This window comes from Homo sapiens, chromosome 9 (assembly GCF_000001405.40).
Source record: "Homo sapiens chromosome 9, GRCh38.p14 Primary Assembly".
Lineage (NCBI taxonomy): Eukaryota > Metazoa > Chordata > Mammalia > Primates > Hominidae > Homo > Homo sapiens.
The window spans coordinates 131,289,673-131,309,961 of NC_000009.12; the positions used below are offsets into that span (position 1 = coordinate 131,289,673).

At 54.8% G+C, this 20,289-nt stretch overlaps 1 protein-coding gene across 3 annotated transcripts, besides 3 other annotated features; it reads left to right on the forward strand.

Annotated features, from left to right (window-relative positions):
• PLPP7 (phospholipid phosphatase 7 (inactive)) lies at positions 51 to 19,589 on the forward strand. Of its 3 annotated transcripts, none has more exons than NM_032728.4 (2): positions 51 to 776; positions 18,251 to 19,589. In NM_032728.4, exons 1-2 carry the CDS (start codon positions 326 to 328, stop codon positions 18,613 to 18,615), a joined length of 816 nt encoding a protein of 271 aa, NP_116117.3. In that variant the 5' UTR covers positions 51 to 325; the 3' UTR covers positions 18,616 to 19,589. The 3 variants fall into 3 exon arrangements, with proteins under 3 accessions (NP_116117.3, XP_005272287.1, NP_001397950.1); XM_005272230.5 differs by lacking the exon at positions 18,251 to 19,589 and adding an exon at positions 3,116 to 3,321; NM_001411021.1 differs by lacking the exon at positions 18,251 to 19,589 and adding an exon at positions 1,439 to 1,773.
• Positions 7,470 to 7,764: a silencer, noted in NCBI's record as "tiled region #12946; K562 Repressive DNase matched - State 8:EnhW". NCBI's record gives its function as "represses a minimal TATA promoter and a strong SV40 promoter by Sharpr-MPRA in K562 cells {active_cell/tissue: K562}" and the evidence as "EXISTENCE:reporter gene assay evidence [ECO:0000049][PMID:27701403]".
• Positions 11,316 to 11,817: an enhancer, noted in NCBI's record as "H3K4me1 hESC enhancer chr9:134176375-134176876 (GRCh37/hg19 assembly coordinates)". NCBI's record gives its function as "activates a minimal SCP1, AML or CMV promoter by ChIP-STARR-seq in naive H9 embryonic stem cells {active_cell/tissue: H9 hESC(naive)}" and the evidence as "EXISTENCE:reporter gene assay evidence [ECO:0000049][PMID:30033119]".
• Positions 11,818 to 12,317: an enhancer, noted in NCBI's record as "H3K4me1 hESC enhancer chr9:134176877-134177376 (GRCh37/hg19 assembly coordinates)". NCBI's record gives its function as "activates a minimal SCP1, AML or CMV promoter by ChIP-STARR-seq in naive H9 embryonic stem cells {active_cell/tissue: H9 hESC(naive)}" and the evidence as "EXISTENCE:reporter gene assay evidence [ECO:0000049][PMID:30033119]".
• Positions 19,590 to 20,289: the final 700 nt, after the last annotated feature.

The following is a 20,289-nucleotide window of genomic DNA, read 5'->3' on the forward strand; positions in this document are numbered from 1 at the left end:
GGATGAGCCATTGGCCGATTTAAATAGCCCAGGCCCGAGGCAGCCAGGCCGCAGCTGTGGACTCCTCACCTCCCGGAGGCTCTGCTGGTGCAGGCCCCGCATTGGAGGGCTCGATTGGCTGCCCGGCTGGCACTGACGTCCCCTTGGAGCTGGGTGGCAGAGGAGATAAACAGCCATGTGCAACTCTCCACACTATATTTAACAGCTGCGGCGGAGAAGGCAGGGAGGCAGCCACGGTGGCGGCTCTGGGGGCAGCTCTTGTCTTCGGGGAGAAGGCCCTTGGAGCCGGGCTGGCATCGGCCTTCTCGGGGTGAGCGAGGTCACCATGCCAGCTTCCCAGAGCCGGGCCCGTGCCCGGGACCGCAACAACGTCCTCAACCGGGCTGAGTTCCTGTCCCTGAACCAGCCCCCCAAGGGGGGCCCGGAGCCCCGCAGCTCGGGCAGAAAGGCCTCGGGCCCATCAGCACAGCCCCCACCTGCTGGTGACGGGGCCAGAGAGCGACGCCAGTCACAGCAGCTGCCAGAGGAGGACTGCATGCAGCTGAACCCCTCCTTCAAGGGCATCGCCTTCAACTCCCTGCTGGCCATCGATATCTGTATGTCCAAGCGGCTGGGGGTGTGCGCTGGCCGGGCGGCGTCCTGGGCCAGTGCCCGCTCCATGGTCAAGCTCATCGGCATCACGGGCCACGGCATCCCCTGGATCGGAGGCACCATCCTCTGCCTGGTGAAGAGCAGCACACTGGCCGGCCAGGAGGTGCTCATGAATCTGCTCCTGGGTGAGTGTGCCTGCCGCCCGCCACTCACTGTCAGGCCCCTCGGGAGGCAGCCTGGCCTGCCCAACCCCACCCTGGCCGGGACCTGCACAGCCCTCAGAAACCGGCTGGGATGGTCTAATGAGGTTAGGCAGGAAGGGTGCCCCAGAAACAGGCAGGCTCCGGCGTGGGGGAGCGACAGCCAGGGATGCATAGACGAGGCTCTCCTGCCACATGCCAAATGAAGACAGAGGCCATTGCGGCCCTGTGAGAAGGACCTGCTCAGCAAAAGGCACCGCTGCCCAGAGGCAGCTTGAAGGGAGGCTGGGCCAGAGGCGGTGGCCTCAAGGGAGACGGTCAGGGCTCTGGTGGGCATCCTGGAATGGGGTGTCACTGTTTGACTCCTGCCCCACGGCTGAGGTCCTCGCTCCTTGACAGCTCCCAGCCAGGCTGTTCCCGTGAGCTGCCCCATGAGCACCTCCCGCCTCGGTTCAGGAACCGGGAAAGCTGCCCAGGCTTCTTCCCCAGGGTCTGGGGACCCAGGGAGTTCCCCTGGGACTGCCACCCACTCACAGCCCCCTGGAGTTCTTCCCTGCTCCTTCCCAGGGGGAGTCACTGGAGAAGGGTTCGGGGGGCCAGTTGTGGGTTTGTTTGTTTGCAAAGTCTTTGCCACCAATGTCTTGCAGATTAGCACCGCCCTGTGCCAGGTGCCACGTGGGGCCCATGTGGAGGCAAGCCATTCCCTCCACCCAGAGGTGATGCCCAGCCCCCGTCCGGCCCACCCTTCGGGCACCACCAGGTCCCCAAGGTGCCCCAGGAAGCTTCCACCCTCCACGCCAGGCCCGCATCGATTTCCTTGTCTTTCCCGGTGTGGCCATCATTTGAGGGACATGTGAGGTGGAGGTCTCAGGCAAGGCAAACATTAACAAGGGGTCTCAGTTCCAAAAGGGCATTGGGTTGGACCACGGAGAACATCAGTTCCAGAGGAAGTTACAATAAAAACACGTATCTCCCTGCTCTAGTCTCAGTCTGGAGGCTCTATGCTCTCTGGGTGGGACTCGGGGAGGCAGAAACCATTGGATACTTCATGCAGGAGATGGCTGGGTCTGCCACCTTCGAGGTTTTCTTGTTCCTTTTTTTTTTTTTTTTTTTGACAGAGTCTCGCTCTGTCACCCAGGCTGTAAGACTGAAGTGCAGTGGCACGATCTTGGCTCACTACAACCTTCAGCTCACTACAACCTCCGCCTCCCGGGTTCAAGCAATTCTCCTACCTCAGCCTCCCAAGTAGCTGGGATTACAAGCGCACACCACCACACCCAGCTAATTTTTGTATTTTTAGTAGAGATGGGGTTTCACCATGTTGGCCAGGCTGGTCTCAAACTCCTGACCTCAGGTGATCCACCCGCCTTGGCCTCCCAAAGTGCTGGGATTATAGGCATGAGCCACCGTGCCTGGCCAGTTTTCTTGTTCTTATTACTAAATTATTTACATTACAATAACTTATGATTTACTCCTGAATAAACAGTCTCACGAGGTTGGTGCCATTATCATGCCCATTTTACAGATTAGGGAACTGAGGTTCCTATAAATAAAGCAACCTGGCCCAGCCTCAGGGCTTGAGATTTGCACTGGCTCCAGCTGACACACAGGCCTCTGCTCTTCCAGGTGCTGTGCCATGGGCGTGGGAGGGAGGGACAGAGCAAAGTGGCCGAGGCACTAGGCCAGGCGCTTCCAGGGGCAGAACCTGCTCTCATTATCCACAGTTTCACACAGGGCCACGTGGCTCAAGAAGACTGTTGGGATTTAGAGAGGTAGGTTGCCTGCTGTCAGAAGATGGGGTGGGAAGGCATACACTCCAGTCTGTCTCTCAACCCTGCTCCCTTGACCCCATCTCTTCCTTCCCACCTTCTTTCCCCATGTGACAAGGGAGGTGATGAAGATGTCATTGGTTGAGTGCTTACCGTGTTCCAGGGCTTTGCATAAACCATATCATTACTTCTGATCTTCACCATAACCCATGGAGCTTGGTGCTGTTATTATTCCCCATTTAAAGAGGGGGAAATTGAGGCATGGGGTGACGATGGTTCTAAGGTCCTGCAGCTAGTCAGTGATGGAGCCAGGAGCAGAACCAGGAGCAACTCTAGCTTTGCTTTGCGTTTTCAGAGGAGAGGGAGAGGGAACCAGCTCAGACTGTGTGAAGCTTCCAGCAGGGGGAGGATCAGAGAAGAAAGGAGGTGCATCTCAACTTACCCACAGTCAGTGGATGCTCTAGTAAGGGGGTGAGCTCCCCGTGGTAGGAGGTATGCAAGCAAGCTGCCTCACATCACCAAGTAAAATAGCTCTGCTTTGTTTTTTTTTTACAGGAATGTTTGCTTTTAAGAACATTTCCCCTGCCCCAAACATTGAAAAATTTGCAACCTACTTGTTAAGATAAGGCTTCAGGCTCATTCCAGCAGCCAGCTGCCATGGGCACAAAGCTGTTTGCCCCACAGGATAAAGATGAAGATTTGAGTTGCCTTCCTCCTTGAACAGAAGTGATAGACATTTTTAAAAATCTTTAAAAACATCATGTATTGAGCTTTATTATGTACCAAAGACAATGGCATGAACGGCCTGTATTTTATGATGTAAAAAAGCTGTCGATGACCTTTCAAGGTAAATATTAATATGCCCATTTTACAGATGAGTAAACTGAGGCTCAGAAAGCTCAAGCAACTTGCCCACCATACAGCTATAAGCGGTAGGTTCAGGAAGTAAATCCAAGGCCCCGTGACTGCAAACCCCCCCACTCCTCGCTGCTCACCGTGGGGCTGCAGGTCGGGCATATCACCCGTGTTCACTGCACTCCTGGAGCGTGTGTGCTTTGCGGAGGGGAATGATCTGGGAGGAGGTTGACTGTCTTCATATCCAGGTGTTGAGGCCATGGGGACATAGGGCCTGGCACAAGTCAGGCATTCAGCATAGGCCACAGAGCAGGCCGGGTGGGTCTGGGGACCCCGAGGTCACTCTGTGGGGATGCCAGCCCAGACCTCGGCTTGGTGGGAGAAAATTGCAGCAAATGGCCAAGGCAGGCTCTAATCCTGCAGCTCTGGTCTGACCTGCCAGGAAGGAAGGTCCCACAGTCCCCTGCCCCGGGGAAAGCAGACTGCCCACTGAGCACACGCTGCAGGTTCCATCTGTCCTTTTGTCTTTGGAGGGCACCCTTCAACCCTGGAGCACAGGCTCTGGGGAGAGACTGGCTATTGTCCAGGTCCCTGCTCTGACCCTTACTTGCTGTACGCACATGCTCAAGTCAGTTCCTGTCTCTGAGCCTCAGTTTCCCTATCTGGGGGCTGAGGGGGATGTGGCAGGGATGTGAAGGGAGATGGCAAAGCATTTGGCATGGTGGGTGCCATGCCACACGGTGACATCACTGCAATACTGAAGGGGGAGGGAGCCCTACCTAGCCCTGCCCACCCGCTCTGGCCCCGTGGCACTCAGCTAACCCCCAGGGGCAGTCTCTGGGCTGGGAGCAAGACCTCCGAGCTTGCAGTTGGGACCTGGGTTCCACTTGGCTCTGAAGAGGCAGACTTGGGAGCTTGGGAAATGGGAGCTGCAGCTACGAGGCCTAGGAAGGGTCCTGCTGGGCCTGGGGAAGTTCTCTGCATGCTCCCTGCTTGGCAAGCAGTCCCATGCCCTCCCTGCTTGCCCCTCTCCTAGTGCACACTGTCAAGACTCTAGAAAGCTCAGAGCCAGAAGGGGTCTTAGCAGCAGGCAAAAGTTTGGACTCCACAGGCAGCCGGACCTGAGTGCAAATCCCAGCCCTGCTGTGGGAACTCAGGCAAGTGACTTTGCCTCTCTGAGCCTCAGTTTCTTCATCTGTCAGGTGGGTTGTTGGGAAATCTCCCTGATGAATCACACATGAAGTGCTTGGCACTTACTGATGTTGGTTAACGGTTAAGTAGCAATGATTATCATCATCATTATCACCGTCATCATTGTCAGAAGTCCAGGACCAGCCTCCTGCCAGGTACCTTCCAAGCTCTAGATGCCTTGAGACCACCTGTCCCCTTCTCCCTCCCGAGCAGCACCCAGCTTGATGATCCGAAGGGAGCCAGGTGACAGGTGACAGGTGACCAGGCCCATCCCAGTTCACTAAGCCCATCCTTGTTTCCTCATGGGCCTGTCCTGTGGTGGGAAATGCCTCTGGTCTTGTTCCTTGATCTATGTCCTTTATGAAAGTATCTTTTTGTTTGTTTGTTTGTTTGTTTGTTTGTTTGTTTTTGAGACACAGTCTGTCTCTGTTGCCCTGGCTGGAGTGCAGTGATAAGATCTTGGCTCACTGCAACCTCCGCCTCCCGGGTTCAAGCAATTCTCCAACATGGTTTCGTTATGTTGGCCAGGCTGGTCTCGAACTCCTGACCTCAGGTAATCCACCCACCTCGGCCTCCCAAACTGCTGGGATTATAGGCGTGAGGTGATCCACCCACCTTGGCCTCCCAAAGTGCTGGGATTACAGGCTTGAGCCACTGTGCTGGCCTATAAAAGTATCTTTTTTTTTTCCTTTGAGACGGAATCTCACTCTGTCTCCAGGCTGGAGTGCAGTGGTGTGATCTTGGCTCACTGGCATGAACCCGGGAGGCGGAGCTTGCAGTGAGCTGAGATCGCACCACTGCACTCCAGCCTGGGCGACAGAGTGAGACTCTGTCTAAAAAAAAAGTATCTTTATTGAGATTTTCCTGAATATGAAAACTACTTTTTTTTTTTTGAGACGGAGTCTCGCTCTGTCACCCAGGCTGGACTGCAGTGCTGTGATCTTGGCTCACAGCAACCTCTGCCTCCCTGGTTCAAGTGATTCTCCTGCCTCACCCTCCCGAGTAGCTGGGATTACAGGTGCCCGCCACCACGACTGGCTAATTTTTGTATTTTTAGTAGAGATGGGGTTTCACCATGTTGGCCAGGCTGGTCTTGAACTGTTGACCTGATGATCCACCTGCATCAGCTTCCCAAAGTGCTGGGATCACAGGAGTGAGCCACCACGCCTGGCTATGAAAACTACATTTTTATGTCATTTTTTATTGTGATAAGCTATACATCACACAAAATTGATCATTGTAGTCATTTGAAGTGTACAGTTCAGTGGCATTGAGTCCATTCACACTGTTGTGCAGCCATCACCACCATCCATCTCCAGAACTCTTTTCATCTTTCATCTTAAAACACAGAAGCTCTGTCCCCATTAAGCACTGACTCCCCACTCCCCTTCCCCCAGCCCCTGGCAACCTCCATTCTACACTCTGTCTCTGTGGATTTGACTGTTCTAGGGACCTCAAGTAAGTGGAATCGTACTGTATTTGTCTTTTGTGGCTGGCTGATTTCATTTAGCATGATATCCTCGAGGTCCATCCATGCTGTAGCGGGCGCCGGCATTTCCTTCCTCTCTAAGGCTGAATAATGCTCAGTTACAGGATGGACCACATTTCGTGTATCCATTCGTGCACCCATGGACACTTCGGTTGCTTCCACATTTTAGCTGTTCTGAGTAACGCTGCCGTGCGCACAGGTGTATATGCATCTTCTTGAGCCCCTGCTTTCAGTTATTTTGGTTGTATACTCGGAATCGAGCTGCTGGATCACAAGGTAATTTTGTGTTGACTTGTTTGAGGACCTGTCCTACTGTTGCCCACAGCGGCTGCGTGATTTTACATTCCCCCAGCAATGCCCAAGGGCTCCCATATATCCACATCTTCACCAACACTCATTATCTGGTTTTTCAATCAGAGCCATCCTAATGGGTATGAGGTGGTATCTCTTGTGGTTTTGGGTATTTTTTGTTTGTTTTTTGTTTCGTTTTGGGGGTTTTAGTTTGTTTGTTTTCTGAGACAGAGTCTCGCTCTGTCACCAGGCTGGAGTAAAGTGATGCGATCTCGGTTCACTGCAACCTCCGCCTCCCAGGTTCAAGCAATTCTCCTGCCTCTGCCTCCCAAGTAGCTGGGACTACAGGCGCCTGCCACCATGCCTGGCTAATTTTTCAGAGATGAGCTTTCACCATGTTGGCCAGGCTGGTCTCAAACTCTTGACCTCAAGTGATCCTCCGGTCTTGGCTTCCCAAAGTGCTGGGATTATAGGCGAGAGCCACGGTGCCCAGCCTACACATTCTTGTAGTAAGAAAAAATGCAATGATTACAAGGCTAGATCAAGAAGAAAGTGAGCCTCTCCCTTAAACCCTCTCCCAGGAAGAGCCTCTGCCGCAGCTTGGGTCACGTGCCCCTGGATTTTTCCCCGTGCGAATGCTAATGTGTGATGTGTTTCTCAGGCTGTGTTTTGCCCGGTTTGGCCTCACTCTCACAGCTGTGGCCCTCCCACCTGGAATCCTGATCTGGACCCTCCATGTCCCTCGCACCAGCATGAGGGGTTCAGATGCTCCAGATAATCTGTTCTGGCAGCTCTCCCATCCCCTGCCCTCTGGCTCTTGCTCTCAGGGACAATTTAGGTGACAGCCTCTCCACGAGGCTTGTCTAGCCTGTTCCTAACTGAGGGGTATTTAGGCTGATCCCAAATCTTCGCTCAGATACCCTCCTGTGGGAAACCGCACATGCTACCTCCTCGGAAGTAGAGGGGTTCCCTCCCCAGCCTCCTTTCTCAGCATCTCAGTGGGCCTCAGTGCAACAGTCAGTCCCTCAGGGGGGCCTTTGGCCACCCCCAGGCCAGGTCAGGGCCCCTTAATACACTGCCCTGGCAGCTGTCCACACAGCGGATGCAAGAGAAATGCAATAGTTTGTGGTGCCAGTAGGCAGGGTCTGGATCAGCATTGCCCACCAGCACAGCTAGTGATTTCATGTCCCTGGGACCTGCTCCTAGCAGGACCTGGTGCTCAGCAGAGTGAATAACCAGCGCCATCAGTCTTTCTATTGATGATCCTGAGTGCTTTGCACACCACTGGTCTTCAAAGATAGGGAGAGCTGGCTTTAGCAGGTGGAGTCTTTTTTTTTTTTTTTTCTGAAGAGAGTCTTGCTCTGTCACCCAGGCTGGAGGGCAGTGGCGCGACCTCAGCTCACTGCAACCTCTGTCCCCCAAGTTCAAGTGATTCTCCTGCCTCAGCCTCCTGGGTAGCTGGGATTACAGGTGCCTGCCACCACACCTGGCTAATTTTTGTGTTTTTAGTAGAGACGGGGTTTCACCATGTTGGCCAGGCTGGTCTCGAACTCCTGAGCTCAAGCTATCCGCCTGCCACCGCCTCCCAAAGTGCTGGGATTACAGGCGTGAGCCACTGTGCCTAGCCTGTAAAAATAACTTTTTAAAAATGTGCACAAATAATGCGTGCTTGTGGCAAGAAAGATTTTAAAGTGCAGAATTACAAGAAGTCAGTAAAAATCACCCCTAATCCTCTTGCCCAGCAAGAAGCATTGTTAGCATTTAGAGCAGTAGCTTCTAGATTTTTTTCTCTGTATATAAGCACGTTTGCTTACATACATATCTTATTTTATGAAGATGGCATCCTACTGGAAATCCTATTTTATAAGTGGCCTTTTCCACTTAACATACCCCATGGCTTTCTGATATAGTCGGGCTATAAATATACATGGGCCTTATCATCTGCAGTGGCCACAGCATGCTCTGGTGTCTAGATTAGGCCACAGTTTGTCCTGTCTGTCTCTTGAAGGGCGCTGGGTCGTTTCACGTTTTTCGGTGTTATAAACAATGCTGCAGTGAACATCCCGGGCCATGAATCATGGCCCACATCCCTAACGATTTCCCAAGGAGATATTCCTGCAAGGGGAAGAGCTGAGTCCAAGGGAGACACGTGGAGGAGAGTTCTGATTCCGAAGCCAAATGCCCTTCGGGAAGTTCAGACCGATTTACACACTCCCTGGGCAGTATATGGCTGGCTCCCAACCTTCCGGAAGCCAGAATGGGGGATGAGAAGCAGGATTGACTTCCCAGCCCAGGAGCACTGGGACCCCTCCTCCCAACCCAGCCGGAGAGAGACATCTGCCCACAAACCCAGCCCTTCGCAGCCTGCAGGGCATCCCAGAAGCCCCGTCCTTGTTCCTTGCTTTAGAACAGCTGAGCCCACAGCCTTCACCTCCCACCCCTACCCCACTAGCCCCAACTCCCCAAAGACCCTGCCCTGCTCTGAGCTGGTCCCACAGAGTGCGTCCTCAGGGGGAAAGCAGCCCAAAGCCACAAAGGGCCACACTAGGTCACCCCAGCTGCCCCTCTTCCCGCAGTGCACATAGCTGCTGGCAGACAAGTGATGTTCTAATTTTCAGAGGCCTCAGGAGGAGATGATTCCAAATCTTCCAGGATGGCAGCAGCTCTTCTCCAAGAAAGCCCTGGCTCCTGCCTGGCCTCTGGGAGCCTCCAGCACTCTGGTTCCCTGGCCACCACCAACCCCGAGGGACCTGGGCTAGGGGAGAAGGGTGGGCCTCGAGGTGGGTTCTTGTTGCCCTCTGAGGGCCGGGAAGCCTCCAGGACAGCAGGGCCCCGGGGACAGCTGTGCTTCCTGCATGGGGGGTTCAGACATTCAGGCCCCAACCCTGTGCAAAGAGCGGAAAGTGGAGCTGGTTGGGACGGAAGAGCGTGAGGGGTGGTGGACAAGCCCTGGTGTCCTCTGACATGGTCCCGGGGGTCCATTACCAAGTGTCTGCTATACACAAGCATCAGAGCAGGCCCCTTGGCATCCCAGCGTATCCATGGCAGGGAGCTCTGGGGGATAGACACACCGAGGTTTTGCTGTCCACAAGTGGCCGACCTTGAAGCCGGTCTCTTTCTGGAGCCTGAGTGCGCCCTGGGTGATCCTAGTGAGTGGAGGCCAGTGGAGGCTGAGTGACCTCCCTGAAACGTGCACATAGCAGGTCCAGGGCAGTGCAGCTCCCACCAGCTCCCCGGCTCTTGCCCCTGAGCCTCCTGCTGGGTGGACCTTTCCCCTCACAGGGGTCTCCTTGCCCTCCTTGAGTCAACTGGTCGACTGGACAGGGCCATGTGGGCGGAATCAGCCTTGAGTGATGGTGCCGTTTGCTTCTATTTCTGGGCACCAGATGATGCGCTCACAGTGTCAGAATCACAGTCACTCAAGGCCTGGCTGCGCTGGAGGAGGAAGAGAGGCCCTGCAGGGGCAGCAGGAAAGGGCAGAGTGGGGTGGGAGGCCCAGGGGAGACTACGGCTCTGTTGGAGAGCTGCCCTGTGGTCTGAGGGTGGCAGGCGGGCCACTGCCTCTTCCATTCACAACCCTCCCGGCCAGACGGCTGCGGCATGGTGAGGGCGAAAAGCCACGCACCCCGTCACACCTGTGATAGAGTAACGCTCTGTGTCACTATGTGCTTACTGCCCACCGTCCCGTTTGGCCATAGGAGACCCTGCCAGCCTCGTTCACAGTGCCAGGCCTGACACACGCCTGAAATACCCAAGAACCGGCGGTGCCCAAGAAAGGGTGGAAAAGTGAATGAACCAGGCACAGGCTAGGTGGGTCAACCCAGCTGGAGAGCCAGGCTGGGCCCTATGGTCCCCGCAGGGCCCAGGGAAGAAAGGGGGCAGATACCCCCCGTCATTATGGCCTGAAGAGAGGGAACCAGCCTGAAATAGCCACAGCTTCCCAAAGGCACAGCTGTGGGGCGTCTTAGTCCATTTTGTGCTGCTGTAACAGAATACCACACACTGATTTATAAAGAATAGAAGTGTATTTGGCTCATGGTTCTGGAGGCTGGGAAGTCCAAGGCTGAGGGGCCGCATCTGGTGAGGGCCTTCTTGCTCCCTGTTGCCTTCTGCATCACGTGCAAGGGAGCACATGCCTGGGAGGGCAGGAGGTGACCACACTCACCCTTTCGTCAGGAACCACCCCTGGTACCTGCATTCATCCATTCATAAAGGGAGAGCCCTCCTGGCCTATCATCTTTTTATTTTATTTTATTTATTTAGTCCCAGCTACTCTGTTTCCTACACCGAGTCTGTATGCTTTCATCGGGAAAAGCAATGTTTTGCTGCTAGAGATTTGAAAGGAGCCAGGCACAGCGGCTCACACCTGTAATCTCAGCACTTTAGGAGGCTGAGGTGGGAGGATCACTTGAGCTCAGGAGTTCAAGACCAGCTTGGGCAACAAACTGAGATACTGTCTCTACAAAAAATCAAAAAATTAGCCAGTTGTGGCCTGTGCCTGTGGTCCCACCTACATGGGAGGCTGAGGCAGGAGGATCATTTGAGCCCAAAAGTTCAAGGCTGCAATGAACCATGTTTGCACCACTGTACTCCAGCCTGGGCAACAGAGGGAGACACTGTCTCAAAAGCAGAAAAAAAAAAAAAAAAAAAAAAAAGGGAAGGTGTGGGTCTAGCTTAGTTCTTGGCCTATGGATCCTGACAGCCCATGCAGAGAGCTGGGGCATGTGGGGAGGTTGAGGCACCCAGCCCTCCTTGCCTTTGGCCACCCCATCAGAGTTGAGGTGCTGGGCCCAGTGTACCCCCCGGGTGACTTAGTAAAGTCAGCCTTTCCTCCCCACATTTTCCTTGACCACAGCAGCTGTCCATTAGGGCCCTGTGCTGGAAAGGCAGATTTTATTTATTTATGTATTTATTTATTTATTTATTTTGAGACAGAGTCCCGCTCTGTCACCCAGGTTGGAATGCAGTGGTGCCATCTCAGCTCACTGCAACGTCCATCTCCCAGATTCAAGCGATTGTCCTGCCTCAGACTCCCAAGTAGCTGGGACTACAGGTGCCTGCCACCACATCCAGCTAATTTTTGTTTTTTCAGTAGAGATGGGTTTTCTCCATGTTGGCCAGGCTGGTCTCGAACTCCTGACCTCAGGTGATCCACCCACCTCGGCCTCCCAGAGTGCTGGGCTTACGGGCATGAGCCACCGCGCTGGCCTCGAAAGGCAGATTTTGAACCCATCAGCTGCTGAGTCCTGGTTTTCAACCTAAAGACCTGGTCACCAGTAGGACAGATGGCCCATGCCTTCCAGTGGCTGGTGTCATATTTCAGCCTACCATGGAGCCCAGTCCTGGTCTGCATGAACCACCCCCTACCCCAGATTCTGGCAGCTGTTCGGGCACCCAGACCCTGGCTGGCCACCAGTCACCAACCACCACCACCAGGAGGCCTTGCTTGGCCTGGCCTCTCTTACTTGTCTTGAGGTGGTGGAGGTCTTGGAACCTGGGCCAGACAATTTTGACCCTGGTGGGACCTTAGGAAAAAAAGCCTTCGCTGGTGTTCCTGCACGGTGCCCCAGCCTCCAGGACCAGAGCCTCCCACAGCTTCCCGGGCCAGGCGGGGCTAGGACTCACAGGCAGTGTAATGGCAGCAGTATGCTGTCAGCCACCACACTCCTCCCCGGTTCATTGGCTTATTTCCTCCTGGGACCACCCTTGCTATGGGTGAGTAGACCAAGGCGCTGAGAGGGGAAGGAACTTGTTCTTTTTTTTTTTTTTTTTTTTTGAGACGGAGTCTCGCCCTGTCGCCCAGGCTGGAGTGCAGTGGCGCAATCTTGGCTCACTGCAACCTCCGCCTCCCGGGTTCAAGTGATTCTCCTGCCTCAGCCTCCCAAGTAGCTGGGACTACAGGTGCCCGCCACCATGCCCAGCTAATTTTTTTGTATTTTTAGTAGAGACGGGGTTTCACCATGTTGGCCAGGCTGGTCTCGAACTCCTGACCTCAGGCGCTCCGTCCACCTCGGCCTCCCAAAGTGCTGGAATTACAGGCGTGAGCCACTGCGCCCGGCCAGAACTTGTTCTTAATTAGCAGGGTCGACCCCTCGGCCAGAAGCACCAGGACCCCTCCTCAAAGCCCCAGCCAGTGAGACTTGAACCCCACCTGTGACTCCAGAGCCTTCAGATTTAACCCCCTCCCCATGAACTGCCTTCCCTCGCCAGGTGGAGAAAGCCTGTCACCAGGCCATTTTTGGGGAAGTGGTGGGGCTTGCAGATGAGAGGGCTCCCTGGGCTGGAGAGGACCAGCTGGCCCCTCTAAGCTGGCTTCCTCAGCTGCTTCATGGGGCGAAGGGATGCCAAGGTCAGCACAGCTACCTCCCTCTCCCGCCTGCCCTGGGGACCTGGCAGTCCCCAGTCCCTCTCTCCTGCTGGAACTGTGACCTCCCACAGGCTTCAGATGGCACGAAACCCGGGCATGGTCAGCACACGAGCTGGCCAGCCACACGCCTCCCCAGCCACCTCCTGGGAAGACCCAGCCCAGGGGAACAGCTGCCGTGAAATTGGCAGGCAAGGGTAGAGCAAGGTTTTCTCGAGGCCTTCAGGCCCCGCCCTCCTTGGGCCAGCCAGCTCCTCTGTGTACCTGCTCAGCCCCCTCCTGTGCTGGCCAGGCACTTCCAGGGTGCAAGGCTCTCAGCCAGCCCTGTGGCTAATGAGAGGGGCCAGGAGATGCCACGATTCAAACCCCAAACAGAGAGACCAGACTACAAGCAGCAACCCTGAAGTGGGCAGGAAAAGGGGAAGCCCTGAAGTTCTAGTCCTCCAGGGAGGACTGCGTGATCTGGAACAGTCTAACTGCCTGGCATGGACAGTTAGGTGCACCACAGTGCCTCACACCCTGCAGCAAGGGGATCGGGGGTATGTGATGGTGCAAGACTTTCAAAAGCAGGCAGCAGAACAACATATGCAAACCATGTTACAAGCTTTATTAAATCTATGCTCCAAAGGCCGGGCACGGTGGCTCACGCCTGTAATCCCAGCACTTTGGGAGGCTGAGGTGCGCGGATCACCTGAGGTCGGGAGTTCAAGACCAGGCTGACCAACATGGAGAAACTCCATCTCTACTAAAAATAGAAAAATTAGCTGGGCGTGGTAGCACACACTTGTAATCCCAGCTACTCGGGAGGCTGAGGCAGGAGAATCGCTTGAACCTGGGAAGCGGAGGTTGTGGTGAGCCGAGATCACACCATTGCACTCCAGCCTGGGCAACAAGAGGGAAACTCTGTCTTAAAAAAAAAAAAAAAAAAAAAAAGCTGTGCTCTATAAGTGGATGGAAAGGTCTGGAACAATGACTACCTCTGAGGGGCAGGATTACAGGTGATTTAAACTCTAACTTTTGTTTTCTGTTTTGTAAATGTTCTGCAGTGAATAGCATCTTCTGTGTCTTTTTTTTTTTTTTTACTTTTTTTCCATTTCTGCCAAGAGCTGAACATTCCGATAAATACTGAAAAGTTTTCTAGGAAAGCTCCCAGCATCTGGCTGCACTGAACTGTCATTGAGTCATAACCCCCCACCTTTATCCAGCCCTCCTGGTGGGCCAGGCGTTTGGGGGACCAACTCAATCATTTGCTGCGACTTCCATGCTTTAGCACTGAATATCTTGTGTCCTAGGAAACCCCTCTGTCCCAGTGAAACCTTGTCACCCTGCAGTCAGCAACCTGCCTGCAGGCATGGTGCCTGGCCCCCTCTGGGAGGTGGGTGTCCCTGAGCTTCGTCTCACAGGTGAGGAAAGTTAGGTGGTTTGCCTGAGGTCACACAGCTGGGAGGCTCCAGGGCTGGAGCTCACAGCTGGGTCTCTGGCTGTGATGCCTGTGAGCTTTGCCACCACACTGCACTGTGGGTGTTGTCTTCACTGTCCGTGAGGCAGGGCTTGCAGGAGCTGTGACCTCACTGGGGTCCCCAAGGTCACCTGAGATGGGGAAGCACAGGGGGCAGGGGCACGGGCTCCCTGCCGACTCTGTACCTGCCCTGGGGGTGCTGTCTGGCCTGCTGATGCCACCCCCACCCCCAGGTCAGAGGGTGTGAGCCCCAAGGGCCTTTCTAAGGGTGTGGAGGGTTGACCTGGAACCCCCACATTGGCGGTCTGGGTGCCACTCAGATCAGCTGGGTGAAACTGGGGTCCTGGCATGGTGCCTTCCTCTCTCGGCACAGAAAGGCGGAGCAGCCCCCCAAGGCCACACAGCAGGGTGTGGCAGAGACACGATGGAGATCCAGGTCTCCCCTGTGTTTCCGAAATGGGGAAAGAAAGGCCAGGCGCAGTGGCTCACGCCTGGAATCCCAGCACTTTTTGGGAGGCGGAGGTGGGCAGATCCCTTGAGGTCAGGAGTTCGAGACCAGCCTGGCCAACATGGCGAAACCCCGTCTCTACTAAAAATACAGAAATTAGCCAGCCGTGGTGTCAGGTACCTGTTGTCCTGGCTACTCGGGAGGCTGAGGCAGGAGAATCACTTGAACCCGGAAGGCGGAGATTGCAGTGAGCCAAGATCATGCTGCAGTACTCCAGCCTGGGTGACAGAGTGAGACTCTGTCTCAAAAAAATAAAGAAAAAGAAAAGGAAGGAAAGAGCCCACCTCGCTGGTTATGAGCCTCAGGCCAGTAACTCAACTACGTTTGGAGACTGTGGCTCTGTTTCTAGCCACGGGGAAAAAAACCTATGAACAAACAGGCACAGCCCCTGCCTCCACGAAGTGATGACTTCATGCCGCAGACAGCGAACCCTCACCTCCCAACAGATGCCTCAGTGACTGCGGGGGAAAAGCCACGAAACAGAGGGCCAGATGTTGAGACTGAACCATTCAGGGCCTGAGCTGTCTGGAAGGCCGGGGCAGGTCCCTGAGGTGGTGAGTTGGGAAAGAGTGGAACATTCCAGAAAGCAAGAGCCTCAGGTATGAGTGCTCTGAGCTCCAGGGGTTCATCTTGTCCTCTATAAAGGGGGGAATGACACAGCGCAGTTGCTGGGGAAAACAGTGGGGTTCCTCAAAGAGTCACACACAGAGTTACTGTCATTACCAACCAGCGACTCCAGTCCTAGGGATCTACCAAAAGAACTGAAAACAGGCACTCGGCAAACACTTGCACACACGTGCATAGCAGCATGAGTCACGGCAGCCGAAAGGCGCAAACAACTCGATAGCCATCAATAGATGAATGGATAAACAAATTGTGGCCGGGCACAGTGGCTCACGCCTGGAATCCCAGCACTTTGGGAGGCTGAGGTAGGAAGATAGCTTGAAGCCAGGAGTTTGAGACCATCTTAGGCAGCAAAGTGGGATGCCCATCTGTAAAAAAAAAATTTTTTTTTAATTAGCTGGGCATGGTGGCACACTTGTAGTCTCGGTGGCTCAGGAGACTGAGGGAGGAGGATCTCTCGAGCCCAGGAATTCAAAGTTACAGTGAGTTATGATTGCACCACTACACTCCAGCCTGGGCAACAGAAAGAGACACCATCTCTGTCTCTCTGTTTCCCTCTCTCTCTCTTTTTAAGACAGGGTCTCACTCTGTCACCTTAGCCTCCTGGGTAGCTGGGATGAGAGGCGTGCACCACCACACTCAGCTAATTTTTGTATTTTTTTGTAGAGATGGGGTTTTGCCATGTTGCCCATGCTGGTCTCAGACTCCTGGGCTTAAGCAATCCTCCCACCTCAGCCTCCTGATAGCTGAAACTACAGGCGTATGCCATCACACATGTCTAATTTTTGTATTTTTTGTACAAACAGGGTTTTGCCATGTTGCCCAGGCTAGTCTCGGACTCCTGGGCTCAAGCAATATGCTCATCTCAGCCTCCCAAAGTGCTGGGATTATAAGTGTGACCCACCGTGCCCAGCCAGAGACATCCGTCTCTTAAAAAAAAAACACCAGGTGCGGTGGCTCACGCCTGTAATCCCAGCACTTTGGGAGGCCAAGACGGGCGGATCGCGAGGTCAGGAGATCGAGACCATCCTGGCTAACACGATGAAACCCCGTCTCTACTAAAAATACAAAAAATTAGCCAGGCGTAGTGGCAGGCGCCTGTAGTCCCAGCTACTCAGGAGGCTGAGGCAGGAGAATGGCGTGAACCCAGGAGGCGGAGCTTGCAGTGAGCCGAGATGGCACCACTGCACTCCAGCCTGGATGACTGAGCGAGACTCTGTCTCAAAAAAATCAAATAAAATAAAGAGGCCGGGCGCGGTGGCTCATGTCTGTAATCCCAGCACTTTGGGAGGCCAAGGCAAGCGGATCACTTGAGGTCAGGAGTTTGAGACCAGCCTGGCCAACATGGCAAAGCCCCGTCTCTACTAAAAATACAAAAATTAGCCAGGCGAGGCAGCGTGCGCCTGTAATCCCAGCTACTCAGGAGGCTGAGGCACGAAAATCACGTGAACCCGGGAGGTGGGCAGTGAGCCGAGATCATGCCACCACACTCCAGCCTGGGCAACAGAACGAGACTCCATCTCAAAAAAAAAAAGAAAGAGAAGATGAACAAATAGTGGTCCATCCATACAGTGGAATATTATTCGGCCATGAAAAGGAATGAAGCGCTGCCACATGGGTGGATGCTGGAAACATTATGCTAAGGAAAGGAAGGCAGACACAAAAGGCCACATGCTGTCTGATTCCATTTACATGGAGTGTCTAGAGGAGGCAAATCCTCTAGAGGAAAGCAGATTGGTGGTGTCCCAGGGGCTGGAGAGAAGGGGATGGGGAGTGGCTGCTTCGTGGGTATGGGGCATTCTTTTGGGATGATGAAATGTTTTGAAATTAGAGAGAGGAGGTGGCTGCTGACATTGTGATGTGCTGAATGCCGCTGAAGCGTGCACTCTAAAATGGTTCACTGTACAAGATGTAAATTTTGCTTCAATTTTTGAAAAATGGGAATGGGGCTGGGCACAGTGGCTCACGCCTGTAATGGGTGAACACTTGGGGAGGCTGAGGCGGGCAGGTCACCTGAGGCCAGGAGTTGGAGACCAGCCTGGCCAACATGGCAAAACCCCATCTCTACCAAAAATACAAAAAATTAGCCAAGCATGGTAGTGTGCACCTGTAATCCCAGCTACTCGGGAGGCTGAAGTATGAGAATTCCTTGAACCCAGGAGGTGGAGGTTGCAGTGAGCCAAGATCAGGCCACTGCACTACAGCCTGGGCAATAGAGCAAGACCCTGTATCAAAAAAAAAAAAAAAAGGAAAAAGGGCCGGGCGCAGTGGCTCATACCTGTAATCCCAGCACAATGGGAGGCTGAGGCGGGTGGATCACCTGAGGTCAGGAGTTTGAGACCAGTCTGTCCAACATGGCAAAGCCCCATCTCTACTGAAAGTACAAAAATTAGCTGGACGTGGTGGTGGGTGCCTGTAATCCCAGCTACTCAGGAGGCCGAGGCAGGAGAATCGCTTGAATCCGGGAGGCGGAGGTTCCAGTGAGCCAAGATCTCACCTCTGCACTCCAGCCTGGTTGACAAAGTGAAACTCTGTCTCAAAAAAAAAAAAAAAAAAAAAAAAAAAAAAAAACCCAAAGAAATAAAATGCGTATTATGTCAGGGCATGAGAAAAGCTGTATGAAAAAATTAAACAAGGTGAGGGGAGACAGCGTGGTGGGGGCTTTTTACAAACAGCGTGGTCAGGGAAGGCTTCTCCGCTAAAGGAAGTAGCTACAGGAAGGCAGGATGTGCCGGGCAGGGGAGACAGCAAAGGCAACAGCCTGAGAGGGGACCCTGCCTGGGGGTCAGTGTGGCTGAGTGGCCTGAGTGAGGAGCAGAAAGGGGAGGCGAGGTGGAAATGTGGGGGGCCAGGGCCTGGGCCTGGCTGGTGGCCCTGATGGCCCAGGGGCCTCTGTCTCCCCCCAACAGCCCTGCTCCTGGACATCATGACGGTGGCCGGCGTGCAGAAGCTCATCAAGCGGCGCGGCCCGTACGAGACGAGCCCCAGCCTCCTGGACTACCTCACCATGGACATCTACGCCTTCCCGGCCGGGCACGCCAGCCGCGCCGCCATGGTGTCCAAGTTCTTCCTCAGCCACCTGGTGCTGGCGGTGCCCCTGCGTGTGCTGCTGGTGCTCTGGGCCCTCTGCGTGGGCCTGTCCCGCGTGATGATCGGCCGCCACCACGTCACGGACGTCCTCTCCGGCTTTGTCATCGGCTACCTCCAGTTCCGTCTGGTGGAGCTGGTCTGGATGCCCTCCAGCACCTGCCAGATGCTCATCTCTGCCTGGTGAAGCGCCCGCCGGCCCACACAAGCCTCTGGGGGCAGGGCTGGCCCTAGAGAAGGGGCAGGGGGTGGCGAGGTGGCGGGCGTGGGTGGAACAGAGCGGCCAGGAGTCAGAGCGGCCACCCCCACCTCATCTTCCCCTCCTGGCTGGAGGCTGGCGAACCCAGGCCACCCCTCCCGGAGACAAGCGTGTTTGGCAGTGCCAGGCCTCTTGCCCCTTTGCTTGGACTCCAAGTCTCCTCTCTAGGCAGCCAGGACCCACCCATGGGGACAGCCCTATTTAGCTTCTGCTCTGGGAACAGCAAAAATCAGGATGGTGGGAGGGGCCGAGTCTTGTCTTGTCCTTTCATCATCATGACTGTTGAGTTCTTGGCTGTGCCCATCACGCCACAGCACGACGCCTGCCAAAATGCCCCCAACCTACTGCCTGATGCAGGTGCCATTGCCATTAGCGGTCATCGACAGCTTAGGGCAGCACTTTCCAACGGGTGCCCATGGGACACCAGCCTGCGAGATGCTTTTGGGGGAAAGGGGTTTTGTGGTTCAATAACTTTCGGAAGTGCTGCACACTCTGTCCCCAAGTTGGACATTCACAAAGGCCGTTATTGCCGTAAAGGCTCTGACAAGCCCTATAGAAAAGCTTCTTGCTAAACCTTCTTTAACCCATGTTTTCTAAACTTATTTGACCACAGAACCCTTTTCTTGGGGAACAGCTATTAACCCCCAAGGAATTATTGGTTCCTCAAGTGCGTTTTGGGAGCTGCTGCCAGAGAGCTAAAGGGCCTGGGGTGTGAGCTGACTCTCCTCTGGGGAGGCCGGGTGCACACGCCACAGCCCGAGGAAAGTGCTGGCCACCGCCCGTGGGCATCGATGAGGCTTTGGCCCCCAGGGGCCGGACTCCGTGTGACCTAATAGGTCGTTTCCAAGTCACCCGTTTTGGATGTGCATTTCATGTGACAATACAGATGACATGCAAATGGCCCTCTCCCGTGTGGCTTTTTCCTCATGCAATTCAATTGCTCTGGATGCATTCACCTTATTAACATGGAACGGGCGGAGGGGTGGGGTAATTCTTCGGCCCTAGACAGTGCCATGATGCCAGGGATCGGGGGCTCTGGGCACAGCTGGTCTGCTCCTGGACTTTACCAGGCTGGCCAGTCCCTTTGCCCTGGGGTGGCTGCCTGGTACTCCCTCAGCCCCCAGGCCCTGTGCTGGCTGCTACCTGGGGCCTGGGCAGGGACCGTTTGAGAGGCCCTCACTGTGATGCTGATGGACCAGAGACCCTCTCTCACTTCAGCCTCAGGCCTTCCCAAGCCCTCCGCCCCGACTCCTGGCTAACCTGATCCTCGTCCGCCAGGAAGTAGGCAAGTGACCAGTGAAACACAGCCAAGCCTAAGAGAGCTGCCGCGAGGGATGTGCAGGGCAGTGAGGGCTCAGAGAAAAGGCCCTGGAGCCCAGCCTTGGGGCATCAGCGCATAGGTCCCAGAAGGGGGAAGTCTGAGCCCAGATGGAGGGAATGGGTGGAGGGAGCCAGGAAGGAGGGGAAGAATGTTCTAGGCAGAGGGAGGAAAGGGGTGAGGGCCAGGAGGCAAGAGCCCCCAGGTCCTATCACAGATCGGCAGGAGGCTTGGGGACACCCGGAGCTCCCCGAACCACACTTTGAGTGTGAGCGCTCGTCTGC